The following is a 17043-nucleotide window of genomic DNA, read 5'->3' as shown; positions in this document are numbered from 1 at the left end:
TTTGAATGCCCACCCTAAAGCTACCCAAACCCCTCAGATGCTCTCTCATTCAAGAAGAGGATGGCTGAATGGAAAGAGTGAGCTATCTCTTATGGCACTTGTCAGTTCAGGGACCTCAGGCAAGCCACTGGCCCTCTCTGAGTCCAAGTCCTTCTCTGTAAAAAGGCAATAAGAAAGTGTACATCACAGCCAACATAAGCCCAATGAGCTCTAGGGTTTAAATGAGACAGGATATGTAAAGCAGCTTAGAACACTGCCTGCTGTGAGGAAGGTAAAGGGAACACCCTTCTTGCCCATCCTTTTTCCACCGCTAGGCTTCATCTATAGCCAGGGCATCTGCAGTCAACAGGTAAGGCATGAATGATGGTTTCAGCCATGGCCAGTGCAGGGAGGAGGGTTTTCAGGACCACCAGGGCTGTTCTAGGACTGCTGTGTTCACTTACTATCAGGGCAACTCCCTTTTTCTGTCTACCCTCAAAGTCCAGTCCTTGTTCCACATCCCTTGGGAAACATTCTTCACCCCAAACACACAAAGGCTGCCTTCAAACACGGTCATGTTTAAAATTAAAAATGTGAAAAACAAATCTCATTTTCTTAAAGAGACCAAAACTTGAAAGGGCTGGGAAGATAAGATTTTCCATTATTAATAGAGTTTGTTCTACCAGAGCCCATCCAAGGATCATCGATATCATCCACCTACCAGGATATGGAAATAGCTTGGATGTGAAGAACGCATTGCAGTTATGGCATCCAGTACAACAGGGGGCTACCAGCAGCCAACGCTAATCATCACATTCCATACAAGCCCAGATAACCGGCGACAACAGATACAGAGAATGATGTTTAAATAGATCAAGCGAGAAAGAAAAGTCACAGCTAGGTCTCTGAAATTACTTCTTTGAAGCCATAAATGCCAAATAATCCCCCTGGAGGGTATAAAAGCAGCTCTCTTTCTAGGGCCCTTGTGAGACACTCCCAGCTCATGCATCAGCCTAATTCCTGCAAATTCATAAAACAAAGAGTTGTGCTGTTCCCACTGTGTCAGGTCCCAGAGGACCCCTGGAATCCCTCATGACACAGCTATCAGATCATGGAAGGGCTGGCCCACCTCTTGTCCCCAGACAGAAAAGCCCATGTACTTGCCGGTTCAAAGACGGCCCCTCTAGCAAAATAACAGATCAAATGACTGAAGTATTACTTCTAAGTTGTCCTCTCCTGACCACTGGCCAAGAGTGAGAGAGGGGACACAGGACAGTCGAGAGGTGTCATCAGGGATTATTTTATGGGAATCTCGGTGATGCTTCAAAGGCAGACATCAAATAAAGGGAATAGTCAAAAGCCTCCAGGGGACAAAAAAGTTCTGGAAATAGCAGTGGTGGTTATACAATATTGTGGATATACCTGATCCCACTGGATTGCACACTTAAAAATGTTCAAAATGGTAACTTTTATGTTAGGTATATTTTACAATAAAATTGTTTTCTTTTTTCTTTTGAGGCAGGGTTTCCCTCTATTGCCCAGGCTGGAATGCAGTGGCAGGATCACGACTCTGCAGCCCCGACCTCCTGGGCTCAAGCAATCTTCCAGCCTCTGCCTCCAAGTAGCCTGGGCTACAGGCATGAGCCACCACACTGGCTATTTTTTGTTTTTGTAGAGATGAGGTCTCACTATGTTGCCCACACTGGTCTCAAACTCCCGGGCTCAAGCAATCCTCCCATCTCAGCCTCCCAAAGTGCTGAGATTACAGGTGTGAGCCAACACACCCAGCCAATAAAAATTTTTTTGAAAAAAAAAAAAAAGCCTCCACGGAAGTGCCAGAGGCTGTGGGAATCTCTCACAGAGTTACAGGGGATCAACTGGACAATCTCCACAGCTTTGTCACCACTCTTTGCAAAGAGAATGTGTCCTTCTTAGGGGGCACCTGGGGAAGAGCTGGATTTGGGGGCAGGGCCCTGAGTTTGCCTCCTGGCTTCCCCTTCCTGAGTAGTCTCAGGCAAGTTGCTGAGTTTCTCTATGCCTCAGTTCCTCATCTGAAAACACAGGGATCATAATCTACTACTGATCGTGTCACTGTTAAGAAAGGATAATTCAATAAAAAATGCTTCTAGCCTGGTACTATCATAAGGCCCTTGAGGGAACGGCAATAAATGGTAGCTGCTGTTGTTACGATGTGCCCCTTGTTTGCTAAACACATCCTTACCAGAGGAAGAAAACACCTGCAAGGCATGGAAATGTGTCCCAGGATGTGGCTCCTCCCCCTTCCCCTGAAAAATGTGGCAGGCTCAGGCTCCCTAGCCCTCTCTGTCCACCTGGAAGGCAGCAGAAAGGGGCATGTACCTCTCTCTCTCACAGAGACACAGAAATCACAGAACCATAGAAGCTCAGACCTGGCGCAGACAACCAGGAAGACACCAGCCCCCTAGTGCATCAGCCAGGGCCCTGGTCCCCCAGCCTTGGCCACCCGTGACTCAGCTTAGAGGAGCTGGGCACGTCCCCAGCTGTGTTCAATGAAGCTTTGTCCAGAAGATTCAATGACCTTCACATCGCTGTTCTCTTATTCCTTCTTTATTCACAATCATACTGGGCTCTACAATTCAAGTGATCAGGCCTGGTTCAGCCTTCTGTACTCAGGCTAAATTGTTTTATTTGCAGTTGGATCCTACACATTTAGCACTAAAAGAATCTTAATGCTCAGTTAATACTTCTCCCTCCTCCTACAAAAGGAGAATGTGAAGTCCACATGGCCCAAGTGGCTTGCTCAAGGACACACTAGGTTAGAAAATGGCAGAGCTGAGACCAGAAGAAATTTTTCCATTGCTGGGTCTGGGATATTTTGCCTCTGGTGGGAGAAATAAAGGCAGATGGATAAGCCTGAAATGGGCTGTCCCCTCTGTCTGGCAGCAATATTGAATCTGCACATTTCTATCTTGCCTCACATATACAAACTTCACTGCAGGACCCCTGAGTGGCAGGGTAGCCTCTAGGTTCTCTGTAAAGAGACTTCAGGAGTCACCTTAAGCCAGTGATTTTCCATCAAGAAGGGACCCACCCTCTGAGGCAGGAGAAGTATGTGCAGTTTGCAAAAACCTATTTAATAGTTGGAAAACAGATGAAAACATGTCAGGCTTTTATAATACAAACTATAGAAAAGAGAATTTGCTCCAAATCCTCTTGGCTGTTAGAAATGAGCAGAAGACAGAAAGCCTGTGATGCATGTCTGGGAGTAAAGGCTGAACAAAGCCTCACAGGTCCCTATCCTCTACCCTTTTGGTAAATTATGGGGCAGGTTGGTTGGTGGCTACCCAGGGGTTCAGAAGGTGGTCACAGGTCAAAGGGAAGGCAGGATGATCATCCTAAGACCTGGTTCCAGCCCTTCCCAAGCACTAACCAACTGATCCAGCTAGCCCTAAACACAGTGATGGAAGCCACTGTTTATTCTGAACACCAACAGCAATAACAAATAAGGGTTTCATAAGTGAGTGGGTAGAAGGCTAAGTCTGAGGAGAGTCCTGAAAAAAAGACCTGGAATGGAGCTTTTGATTAAGGTTATGTTACCAAAATAGAGGCACGGCAAGACACGGGTAGATGAAGAAAAGATGACACAAGAGGTTGTCAAGGACAGCCTGTGGTGAAGAGTGAATGAGTTATCATTTAATGTAAACCTTAAAGTTAATAGAAGGGAGGAATATCTCCATGTTAAAAAAAACACCATTCCTTGTAAAGAAAACATGATTTTGTAAATGTTACATAAGCCACTAGCTCCAAAAATGTGTTGCTGGGTTAGCACTGTTTCTCTCTTGGGCATAAACTCTGGTGGGTTGGTTTTTTTGTTTGCCTTCTTAGCAGGTAAAATGATTTCTGCATACCGATGGCTCTGCAGCAGAGGGAAAGAAATGCAATGTTCTGCAATTTAGAAGAGTTCTTGAGCAGGCTTCATCCAGCAGGGGTGTACAGTCCTTAGTATTTTAGGCAGCAGCCCATCTGCTGCTTGCTTGGGACCGCAAGTGAGAGAGGGGATGGGAGAGGACAGAGGGGAGGTTTGGGACCAGGCTGCTTACCCAGGCACATCTTCCATGATGTGCAGGATTTTCCTCCACCCTGTTACAGGCTGACGTGTGTCCCCCCACTTCCAATTCTTTTTTTTTTTTTTTTTTTTGAGACACGGTCTCACTCTGTTGCCCAGGCTGGAGTGCAGTGGCATGATCTTGACTCACTACAACCTCCGCCTCCTGGTTTCAAGTGATTCTCCTGCCTCAGCCTCCCAAATAGCTGGGATTACAGGCACCTGCCACCAGGCCAGGCTAATTTTTTTTTGTATTTTTACTAGATATGTTGGTTAGGCTGGTTTTGAACTCCTGACCTCAAGCAATCCAACTGTCTCAGCCTCCCAAAGTTCTGGGATTACAGGGGTGAGCCATCACACCCGGCCTGTCCCCCCAGATTCCTATTTTGAAGCCCTAACCCCAAGTACCTCAGAACGTGACTGTATTTGGAGACAGGTCCTTTAAAGAGGTAATGAAGTTAGGCCAGGCACAGCGGCTCACACCTGTAATCCCAGTACTTTGGGAGGCCAAGGCGGGCAGATCGGCTGAGGTCAGGAGTTCGAGACCAGCCTGGCCAACATGGTGAAACCCCATCTCTACTAAAAATACAAAAAAATTAGCTGGTTATGGTGGTGTGTGCCTGTAATCCCAGCTACTTGGGAGGCTGAGGCAGGAGAATTGCTTGAACCCAGGAGGTGGAGGTTGCAGTGAGCCGAGACCGCGTCATTGCACTCCAGCCTGAGCCACGAGAACGAAACTCTATCTCAAAAAAAAAAAAAAAAAGAGGAAATGAAGTTAAAATGAGGTCATACTGGGGAGCCCTAATTCAATATGATGGTGTCCTTATAAGAAGAGATTAGGATACAGACAGACCCAGAGGGAAGGGCATGTGAAGACACAGGGGGAAGATGACCATCTCTAAACCAAGGAGAGAGGTCTCCGAAGAAGCCAATCCTGTAACACCTTGGCTTTAGACTTCTAGTCTCCAGGATTGAGAGCAGATAAATGTCTGTTGTTGAAGCCACCCAGTCTGTGGCACTTGCTTATAGCAGTGCCAGTAGACTCATATACTTCTCCTCCTGTTCCTCTCCTTCCTGGCTAGGCTGGCCACTTTTCCTCCTACAAACATCTGTTCTTCAGCTCTCAATCCCGAAACTACTGTCTGGCTTTTGAAAAACACAAAGAAGAACTTTTTTGCTGTTCCATAAAGATCCACAGGAAAATGTCAAGGAACAAAAGAGAAAATGCCACCAAAAGAACCCCTTTCTATTTCCAAACACTCTCACTGTCAAGACCTGCCAGGATTGGTCTGGGTACATGTTGTGCCAGAGGAGAGACGCAAGTGCATGCCCGGCCTTCCTCTAACTTTAATTTGGGTTTTGCAGGGCAGTCCAAAAAGGCTTTCCATCTATAAACTGATAACCATTCACTATAAACTGATGCCCTAGACCTTCTTCGGTTAACATTGTAACTTCTGATAGGGTCACTTTTTACAAAAGAGGACTTGAAAGCTGTTTTGAATTGTTTAGCTAATATTCATCTTCAGTGTGATGTCTTTTCTCATCTCAGCTTACCCCATTCACTTCTGGTCCTGTAGAAGTAACTTCCTGACTTATAAGACAGGAGCAAAGAAAAGTGCCAATCTTATTAATGAATGGCCTACAGTTTAAAAAAAATAAATCAATCTGACAGCATGAAGAGGGGAAATTACAAAATAAGAGATTACCTGTAATTACCCAATAGTCTCTGGTTGTTTCTGATATGTCAAGGTTGGGATATTCCAGTGCTAAAACAAATAAGAAACATACCCAATTACTTTTATAGGTTTGATTTGTTTCGTTTCATTTATTTAGTTATATTTGAGATGGGATCTTGATATGTTGCCCAGGCTGTTCTTGAACTCCTGGGCTCAAGTGGTCCTTGCACCTAAGCCTCCTGAGTAGCTGGACTATAACATGCATTATGGCACCTGGCTTATTTGAAATTTCATTAAGGAAAACAGGTATAAGTGACAAAATAGCAAGCGGCTAAATCCTGCTTTGTGATTCTTAGGGATCCTAGGACATATGAACCAAAACTATCTCACTGTTCAGAAAACTAAAAGACTCAATAAAGGTCCAACTTGTAGATGAAGAGTTTTCTAGGATTTGTGAGTTTCTGCCCTTTCCGTTTTTTCATCAAAATCTTCTGTTCAAACAGAACACCTTCTTTATCAAGACCCACAGCAGGAACCTGTCTTTGCTGTAGCTTTCTCTTTAAAAATCATCTGACCATCACTAACATTGTTAGGAATGATTATCTCCTGGATAGATTTTTTCAGTGTCAAGGACTTAAGTTTAGTAGCCACATGCTTGTAACAAAAGGCCCATATTTCTTTACAAGTATGGGGCCTACTGGAGTTGATACATGCAAAGGGATTTGTACATTGCCTGGCATATGGTTAGTGCTCAATAAATCGTAGTTGTTTTCAGAAATAAAAGGATGATGGAAAATAAAGTCTTCACATGCTGACATGTGACATAATGCCATCTTTTATGACATCATCTTTTCCCTAAAACCCAGAGTCATCTTTCCTTATTATGTGGACGTTTACAAAAGCTTGCCATTAAACAAACATTTGAAAAAAATTCTGAGTGGCTGCCATGTGCTAAGTACATTCACGCGTATTATCTTGTTTATTTACAGTATCAAAAACAACTACAGAAGGAAATTATGAGACAATTTTGCTAATATGTATTAAAAAATAAACTTGCCCAGTGACCTTGTGAAATGTAAGAATGTTTAAATTTAGGAGTACAAACCTTTCCATCCTTTGGCTACCAAATAAACATTTGGATACAAAATGTAACCTGCTGCATCTTCAAAATCTATGCCTGTTGCATGGTAATGAGGATAATGTAACTGAAACATTAGAAAAAGATGAGGCCACAAGACTACGGGGACCTCAGCAAGTGAAGTCACACCATGGACTGCAAATGAGTTATATTATGATATCTGGAGGCAGGACCGAGCCTCAAGGTCTGGGAACGTTTGCTGATGGCCTAAGTGGGAGAAAAACCATAGCAACCCAGATTGCTCAGAGATCGGTTGCCCTAGCAGGCAGAATTGTAAGCTCAGAAGGCAGACTGCTTGGGTTCAAAACCCAGGTCCCATGGCTCACTAGCTAAGTGAGAGTGGGTATCTTGTGAAACCTCTTAGAGCTTCAGTTTTCTCCTCTGCAAAATGGGGCTAATTTTGCATCTGTCTTATAGGGCAGGTCTGAGGATTAAATGAGATAAGAGAAATGCAAAGGACGAAGGCAACTAGCAAGTGCTTTCTTTGATGTACACTAAACTTTTCATCAATTCTTAGTCCATCACATATTTTAGCTGTCACCTTAATCCATCTGCCTCCTTAATCCATATTTAGCTGTCACCTTAATCCATCACATATTTTAGCTGTCACTTTATGATAAAGGTGGTAGTATGTGGCCTGGCACTATAAATGTTTGCTAAATGGAGAAAGGCCACAGGGGAAACACTGGGGTCCCCATAGGCATGGCCATACTCACGTTCAGCAATGGTTAGCGGCGGATAGGTGAGGTAGAATCCCACCAGCTCAGCCGAGAGCTGGCTGAGGAGGCTGCTGGCGACGGTGCCGTTGAGGAATGTGCTCTGATTGCCCACGACGTACACCAAGGTGACTGCCTGGGAGGCATTGGACGTGCTCACAATCTGAATCAACACAGGAGAAAAGGGGAGGGAGACAGGCCAAATAAGACCAGGGTGTGTTTCATGGAGGCCATGGGAGGGGGAGGCTAAGCAGGAGTTGAGGGAAGGAATGAAAGGGGGTCAGGGAAACAGCAAGGAACAGACAAGAGTAACCGTCATCATTTCTGATTGCTTGCTGTGTGCCAGGCAGGGTGCTAAGGGCACGTCATCTCATTTACTCCTTACCACAACCCTGGGAGATGTATCCAGTGATGACGCCCTTTCACAGATGAGGAAACCGAGGCCCAGAATGATCAAGGGACCAACCCGAGGTCACACAGCTAATAAAGGATAGACTCAGGATTTGAACCCAGGTGATTTGACTCCAGGTTCTTAATCACTGGTATGTGTATCTTTTCCTGGGCTAAATAGTCTCAGGTTACTTTTGTGATTCTGAAAATATAAAATAGAGCATTGGAATGTTACATTGAAGGAGGGCTCAACTGCTCAGATAGAGAAAGCCTGAGTCAAACTTTCAGGGAATTTGAAAGTTGAAAGGACCAGGAGCCAACAGAGCTGAAAACCAGTCTGGTCACGGGCAGAGCGACAGAACCTAATTAGAAAAGGAATTCAGAGGCCGGGCACGGTGGCTCACACCTGTAATCCCAGCACTTTGGGAGGCCAACGTAGGCAGATCACCTGAGGTTGGGAGTTCAAGACCAGCCTGGCCAACATAGCGAAACCCCATCTCTACTAAAAAAAAATACAAAAATTAGCCGGGCATGGTGGCATGTGCCTGTAATCCCAGCTACTCAGAAGGCTGAGACAGGAGAATCGCTTGAACCCAGTAGGCAGAGGCTGCAGTCAGCCGAGATTGCACCACTGCACTCCAGCCTGGGAGACAGAGCAAGATTCTTCAAAAAAAAAAAAAAAGAAAAGAAAAAGGAATTCAGAAATATAGAGTATGTTCTTTACAGAGCAATTACATTTCCTTGTGGTCTATTAATTCAACATTGAATGTGTAAAACATCCTATGAGATGGCACGGTTTTCTTTTCACATTTTGTCGAAGCTAGTTTTTCAGTTGCTGGAAAATGAAGCTTTCTGGGTCAATGTATGAACAAAAATATCCTACAGATGAGATTTGAAAAGCATCGTTAGTAGGAAGTCATTCAACTTGGTGAGGCCTTTTTTTGTGAATTTCTGTGCTGCGTGCCTTCCCTTCTCCCTCCAGACCCTCCTGCCACCCACCCTCTCTGCCCTGTCCGGTGCCCCTGGAGGCAGATCCTTGTGGACAACCCCAGTGGGCTCCACTGCCTTCGGGAGGATATGGGAGAGAGGGAGGAGGGTGAGGTCAAAGTATTGATGCTGAGGACTCCCTCCTCACGGGGTCAAAGCTCACTCCCATCAGGCAGCTGAACCTCGAACCCCGCACTCACCCCATCGGGTCCCAGCTGTTAGAGCCTTGGGTACCGTACTGCTCCTGCGGTTTGCCCAGAGCCTGCCCACTCTTCTTTCTACAAAGCCACCTTCATTTGAATGCAGCCTCCTTTTCCTGTCAGGACACTGACTAACACCCTGTCTTTCCCAGACCTTTGGGTGTTCACATATTAACATCTCTGCCACCTTCCTATTAAAAAAATTTTTTTACAGACTTTAAAAAATGATACATAATATTTATCTATATGTAGGCAGTACATGTGATATTTTCTTACACGCATAGAATGTGTAATGATCAAGTCAGGGTTTTTAGGAAATCCATCACCCAGGAAACTATTGGGAAGAGCTCTTCATTTTATTTCCCACTTTTTCCCATAAGTGGAAGATTGATCAATCGATCTCTCTCTCTCTCCCCCGCCTTTTCTCTACCCCGCCCCTTCCTATTTAGAGACAGGGTCTCACTCTGTCCCGCAGACTGAAGTGCAGTGACCTTATTGTAGCTCACTGAACCCTTGAACTCCTAGGCTTAAGCGATCCTCCCACCTCAGCCTCCTGGATAGCTGGGACTACAGGCACACGCCACCAGTCCCAGCTAATTTATTTCATTTTTGTAGAAACAGTATCTCACTTTGTTGCCCAGGCTAGTCTCAAATTCCTGGGCTCAAATGATCCACCCACCCCAGCCTCCCAAAGTACTGGGATTACAATTGTGAGCCACCATAACTGGTCCCTTTTTAATTGTTTAATCCAGAGCCTATATTCCCATGACTAACAATAAACTGAATCAGTATGTCCATTCAACTCTGACTCTCTTCTATGGAAGTATTTTTGGAATGTGGTTTAGCCTCTTCCCCAAGGCATGAATACCTGTGGCTAAGCATATTCTTTCCCAAGGTACCAAAAAGAAAGGCATTTCTTTCTGAACAATTTAAAAAACTTCACCATACGGCCACCTAAAAAAATAATAACTAAAAAAAAAAAAACTTTTCAATCTTTATCTCTATTGTGAACATTCTATTTTTACCTCTCAACAAAACCACATCCTGGCTGGGTGTGGTGGCTCATGCCAGTAATCCCAGCACTTTGGGAAGCCAAGGCAGATGGATCACTTGAGCCCAGGAGTTCAAGGCCAGCCTGGGCAACATGGCAAAATCCTGTCTCTACAAAAAATAGAAAAAAATTGCCAAGCATGATGTTGCATGCCTTTAGTCCCAGCTGCTTGGGAGGCTGAGGCAGGAGGATCACCTGAGCCCAGGAGTCCGAGGCTGCAGTGAGCCATGATTGTGCCACTGCACCCCAGCCTGGGAGACAAAGCCAGACCCTGCCTCTAAAACAAAATGAAACAAAAACCCAAATCCCACTGGAGCCCGAGGAAGCCTACAAAGTTTGCAATGTGGGTGCCTCTGTATATACTATACTTGACCAGTTAAGTTATAATTATTTTTTTATTGTGGTAAAACACACATATAAAATTTAACCATTTTAAGTGTATCGTTCAGTGGCATTAAGTGCATTCACACTGTTGTACAACCATCACCACCATCCATCTTTAGAACCTCTTTATCATCCCAAACAGAAACTCTGTACCCACTAAACAACTCCCAATTTCTCCCTCCTCACAACCCCTGGCAGCCACCATTCTACTTTCTAGATACCTCTTATAAGTGGAATCACTTATTAATTTGACAACTCTAGATATCTTTTATAAGAGAAATCATATAGTATTTGTCCTTCTGTGGCTGGCTTATTTCACTTAGCAAAACGTCCTCAAGGTTCATCCCTGTTGTAGCATGCATCAGAATTTCCTTTTTAAAATTTTTCTGCATTCCAATCATCCATTATTTCCTTCATTTTTAAAGGCTGAATAATATTCCATTGTATGTATATATGCCATTTGATTATCCACTCATTCATTAATGGACACATGGGTTGCTTCCACCTTTTGGCTGTTGTGAATAATGCTACTATGAACATGGGTGTATAAATACCTGTTTGAGTCCCTACTTTTAATTCTTTTTGGTATATAATGAGAAATGAAAGTGCTGAACCATATGGTAATTCTATGTTTAGTTATTTAAGAAACCACCATGCTGCCTTCCACGGGGGATGCACTATTTGACATTCCCACTAGCAATGCATTAGGGTTCCAATTTCTCCACGTTATCACCAACACTTAGTATTTTCCATTTTTTGAGAATAGCCATCCTAATAGATGTGAATAGGTATCTCATGGTTTTGATTTGCATTTCTTTAATGATTAGTGACGCAGAGCATCTTGTCATGTGCTTAAGTCATCTGTATATCTTTTTTGGAGAAATGTCTATTCAAGTCCTTTGCTCATTTCTTAATTGGATTTTTTTGTTTGTTTTTATTATTGAGTTGTAGGTATATTCTCTATATATTCTGAATATTAACTACTTACCAGATATATGATTTGCAAATATTTTTCATTTATTCTATGAATTGCTTTTTCACTCTGCTGGTAGTGTTTTTTGATGCACAGAAGTTTTTAATTTTGATGAAGTCTAATTTGCCTACTTTTTCTTTTGTTTGCCTGTGTCATGTCCAACAAATCATTGCCAAATACTGTGTGTCATGAAGTTTTTCCCCTATGTTTTCCCATAAAAGTCCTACGGTTTTAGATATTACATTTAGATCTTTGATCCCTTTGGAGTTACTTTTGGTAGATGGTGTTAAGTAAGGATCCAACTTCATTCTTTTGGGATCACATGTGAATATTCAGTTTTCCTAATGTGTTAAAAAGACTGTCCTTTCCCCATTGAATAGCCTTGGCACCTCTGTCAAAAAACATTTGACCATATACAAGAGGGTTTATTTCTGGGCTCTCTCTTCTATTCCATTTGTCTAGATGTCTGCCTTTATGCCAGCACTACATTGTTTTGATTACCATAGCTTTGTAGTAAGTTTTGAAATCAGGAAGTATGGGACCTCCAACTTCGTTCTTCCTTTTCAAGATTGCTTTGGCTACTCAAAGCCCCTTGAGATTCCATGGGAATTTTAGGGCTAATTTTTCTATTTCTGTGAAAAACAGTCACTGGGATTTTGATAGGAATTACATTAAATCTTCAGATTCCTTTGGGTAGTAACAATCAATATAAAGTCTCCCAATCCATAAGCACAGGAAGTCTTTCCATTTATTTGTCTTCTTTAATATACTAATTTTTTGTAAGAAAAATTAGTAAGAAAAATTGTAAGAAAAATTAGGTAAGAAAAGTGAGGTCATTCTTGATGTATACTTAAGACTAGCTCCAAAAATAAGAGGCCTACGGGTTCAAAGTCATGGCACTGATCCCTGAAATTCATGCCCTGTCCCCCAATAGAAGCAGTCCCTACAGGGAACACTTTCCTGTCACTCTTTAACTCTTAGATTCCTGTAGCCTCTAACCTCATCTCTTACTTACCCCTCACTCATGCCATGATTCATTTAGCTAAGAAGACCTATAGGCTGATGGAACAGAAAGCTGTTGTTTGCCTACCCAGCATCCATCCTCCCTTCTTGATAGCATCACAATTTTCCTCAGGGAACCATTTCTCCTCTTTGCTCATGTGTTCTGGATGGGGCTGCCCCACCCAAGTTTCAGGAGTAGTCAGGCCTAGTTCATTGGGACATTTAACCTCCTTGGCCCAGAAAGGGCACAGTAGGTTCAATGAGAGCTAATCCCAGGCATTTTACTGGAATGACACCAGGAAAGGCACTTTGGTTCCACAAGACTGTGAGCAACAAGGATGAGACAAACCTGGGGTTGTGAGCGGCCACCCCATGGGAGCCACGGACAATGCCCGTGCAGAGCAAAGCCAACGAAGACAGGAAGAGAGAGCTTGATGAAATCAAATAATCACCTGGATACAACTGTGTCGGAATAAATGTGAACCTTTCAGTTACATGAGCCAATCACTTCCTCTTTTTGCTTAAGCTTCATCAGCTTAGATTCTGTCCCTGGCAACCAAACACGTCCTAATTGAGTCCACTGTAATCTAGTCCCTAATACCAAACCTATACAAGTTGTTAAGTCGATTTTTCAATGACTATCTGAGCAAATTAATTAAATATTTACATGGTCTTATTCTACAAAGGATTCAAGGTGTCTTACAAATTATATATTATCCAATAAAAGGAAAAGTTATTAATTACAAAAACAGGCCCTGGTGAAAGACAGCCCCAAGGGAATGTCAGCATGAAGTTACCATGCATAATATAGGGGCCCTGAGGGTTACTAAATCCAGGCAACAAATTTGGCTCTGGGATTCCTGTCAGCCGAGGCAAAAATGGAAACAGGGTTAATAAAAAACAATTCATCCAATTATCCATTCATTTCAAGAGCTGTTTAAATGTTCAAGAGCATCTAAAATCTATTTAGATGTAATCTTCGAATCACCTCCTATCATCTTTTCCAAGGAAGGTTTGTTACTTGATTTATAAAGTTTCCTCTAATGGCCCACAACTACCATACAACAACACAAGGAGGCTTCTTAAGGCCAAGGGCAGCTTATCTTGGTGTCCTTCCCAGTGCCTGATAAATAGCAGATACTCAATAAGTCTGTGCTTCCTGAATACAATTAAAGTATGCTGTGCTGCCAAGATCTAACTAGGCTCATGCACCTGTGAGGATCACAAATCCAATCAGAAAGAAAAAGAGTTCCCACAAGAGAGCTGAGTCACACTCCTTACATAAATCTTCAGTCTGTGACACATTTTTAGATCTTCGTCTAACATGAACCAAATCATAATGAGATACTTCCATCTACACTTTGGATGAATCTAGAACAGGAAAGCTGCTCACTCAAGTTAAATTGTATGCTTTCTACATCATATTGGCTTTGCTGATAATTCACTTACGCTAAATGTCCATTTTAAAACCACTGGGTCTAATTACAAAGGCTTTATAGTTCAGTAGTCAAAACAGAGACATTGAAAAGAAGAGTTAATTGGGGGCTAGATGAGTATCATTAAGAAGCATCTGTCTTTAGTGGGATGATATCTACGTAGTTGCAAAAAAAAAAAAAAATACAGCGCACCAGGTGTGGTGGTTCATGCCTGTAATCCCAGCACTTCGGGAGGCCGCGAAGGGAGAATTGCTTGAGCCCAGGAGTTAGAGACCAGCTTAGGCAATATATGGAGACTCCATCTCTACAAATAATTAAAAAATTTTTAAAAGGGCTGTTTAAATGTTTAAAAGGGCTGTTTAGAGCATCTAAAATCCTGTCCCCCAATAAAAGCAGCCCCTACAGGGGACGCTTTCCCATCACCCTTTAACTCTTAAGACTCCTGTAGCTTCTAACCTCATCTCTTACTTCCTCCTCACTCATGCCATGATTCATTTCCCAGGGATTTTCCCTGGGAAAGAATTCTGTTGTTTGACACAGGCTTCATTAAGGACCCCATTTCTACACTGCATTGACGTGAGTATGGTGTAGTGGATTGACTCAGGTCCTTCTTCCATTCTTTACCGTGTGACCTTCTGGAAGTTTCTTAGCCTCTCAGTTCTCTCTTCTGTGAAATGGGAGTAAGAATACCTCAGAAGGATGTCTTAAGTATTAGGTAGGAAAATATTTGTAAAACACTTAGCACAGTTCCTGGCACATAGTAAAGACTTCAATATAAAACGCATGTGTGTGTGTGTGTGTGTGTGTGTGTGTGTGTGTGTGTGTGTGTGTGTGTTGGCATGTGTCTAAACTAAGGCAACTGGAATATAAGCCAATGCATAAAATCACAGAACGGGCAAATCTTGGTGACTTAGCTACTTAGAATTGATTCATTTATTCATCTTATATTAGAAATTTGACATATACAGTACAGCCTAGTTCAACTTTTCAAAATAATAAATGTATTAGAAAGGCCTCAGAAAGCATCCCATGGGGAAAGAAATATAAAACCCCAAACCACAATAGGTGCACAGTGACACAGCATCCCTCCTGTCATGGCCATACCCCAGACATCCTCACCAATGTCTGAAGTACAAAGTTACATTTATACATGGTAGCTCTGAAAGGGAAGACCCAAGTCATTTCTTGCCAGACTCTGCATTGTGGTTGTCTGTCAACTACACAGCCTGAAGCACCTTCCTCCCTACCTGAATTGTCAAGTTGCTTTTGGTATTCAGGACTTTCCTCTCGGCATCCTGGAATGCCTTCTGCAGCCTCTGTTCCATTGTCTGAGCAAACTTGCAGGACTGTATGTTGTCCGCTTGGCTCACAAACTGCAGCACTAGAATGAGAGAAGTCAATCAGTGCTCACTAAAGCTCCATGTCTCAGTTCCTTGGATTTAACAGTGGTCATAATATAAAACAGCACGATTTTAGATGAGAGGAATTAGGCAAATAAATAATAAGGCCAGACAAGGTTTGCTTGTAGTTTTGAAAGTGGCTCCTAAGATGAATTATATAACACAGAAGAATTAAAAGCACGATCGAACCAGAGATTCCCTCCAATGCAAAAGATTTTATGATTTTATTTGATTGGAATATGTAGACATCTGCTCAAAGACTGACAAATCACAATCTAAGAGAGATCATGCCTTCTATTTCTTTGGAGGGAAGAAAATCATTGACCTCCATTGCTAAGTTGATTGAGTGTTTCGATTTTAAGAGTTCCTCCACTCTTGTAGGTTACAAACTTTGCAGACCCGAAATCACCAGAGAGTTTGAAAAAAATATATTCGAAGACCTAAACTCAGAGATTCTCATTCAGTGGTATCTGGAATCCATTACTCCAAACCACAGATTTTTTTTTTTTGCATGTTCAACTATTATTAGTACCCACTGATAATATAGAAAGAAATATAAAATATAGTACCTGGAGCTCAAAAGTACTAAGTTTGTAAATTGGGAAGGAAGGCTCCTATGATAGAACATTTCTAACAAATCTAGGGTTGGAAGAGTTTAGGCTGATGTGCAAGGAACTGGGACATTTGATTAGCAGGACCCTTTGAAGAAGGTTCACAGGGACTAAAAAATGACACAGCAGCTAGCAATGGAGCTTTTAAACAGGTGTCCACTTGGTACTGGCCCTGAACCCAAGAATGGATGAAAATCCCTTCCTTCCGAGTCACTTGCCTGTTTTTAGCTGGAAGTAGCCTGCAGGCTGGGGATTCCATGGGGAGGCAAGTACTGCCACAGACTGTAAGTGTGGGGTGTGTTGCTTCAGGTCTGCAGTGACGTTGCTGACTCCATACACACCCAGCATTTCGATCACCACAGCAGGCAAATACACCAACTTCCCTTTGGTAGCATAATAACCAACTGTGACATTATGAGAATATTCCAGAATGTCCACCTACAAAACAAATGGACCCACAAAACCCATTGTTTATTTCCACAGCACTTTAAGTTCTTCCTGGTATTTCTTAGAACCACGGCTGTTAGAAACAAGACTGGAGAATAGAATGTTCTCGTTCAACAAATATTCTTAACAATTCTATAAAGCATAGTTTGGATTGGCAAGTCTCAAAATATCACAAAAACAACAAAATATAATTTACATCAAACCTTCATGGTATAGAATTAAATCTGTATCTTTTTTATTAAGTGCCTCAGTATAATCCTGTGACCATCAATTATTATTACCAAAAAGGTAGGGAGGAGAGAGTAGTTCAAAGAGATTTTCAGTGAATGAAATGCTGGGGAAAATCACTTTCTTATATTTCTCATCATTTATGAGAATTAAAAGGTAGAAATGATAGATTAAGTGGGGGAACCTTGGGGGCACCGGTCAAGGAGTAAGTAAAGTGAATTCCTCTTTCTAGAAGCAGAGAGAAGACTTGTTCAGACTCTGTCCTTGGCTTGTAAATTGGTTCAAGACCAAGGCAGGATGCACCAGAGAATTTCTCTGACAGCTGAATCCTAGGGGACACT

The 17043-nt window shown here is 42.6% G+C and overlaps 1 protein-coding gene across 9 annotated transcripts in view; it reads right to left on the bottom strand.

Moving 5' to 3' along the window:
• Positions 1-17043, bottom strand: part of KIAA1549L (KIAA1549 like) — a 297995-nt gene that overhangs the window by 106598 nt on the left and 174354 nt on the right. For all 9 annotated transcript variants that reach the window (XM_047426719.1, XM_005252848.4, NM_012194.3 and 6 more), the window contains 4 exons: positions 16246-16465; positions 15264-15397; positions 7594-7756; positions 5770-5829 (listed from right to left, as the gene is read on the bottom strand). In XM_047426719.1, the coding sequence (XP_047282675.1) occupies positions 5770-5829; positions 7594-7756; positions 15264-15397; positions 16246-16465 (577 nt within the window). The remainder of the gene's footprint in view (positions 1-5769; positions 5830-7593; positions 7757-15263; positions 15398-16245; positions 16466-17043) is intronic.

This window comes from Homo sapiens, chromosome 11 (genome assembly GCF_000001405.40).
Source record: "Homo sapiens chromosome 11, GRCh38.p14 Primary Assembly".
In the NCBI taxonomy this organism is placed as follows: domain Eukaryota; kingdom Metazoa; phylum Chordata; class Mammalia; order Primates; family Hominidae; genus Homo; species Homo sapiens.
The sequence above is the reverse complement of the archived record's forward strand: the minus strand, read 5'-3'. Positions and strand labels throughout refer to the sequence as shown.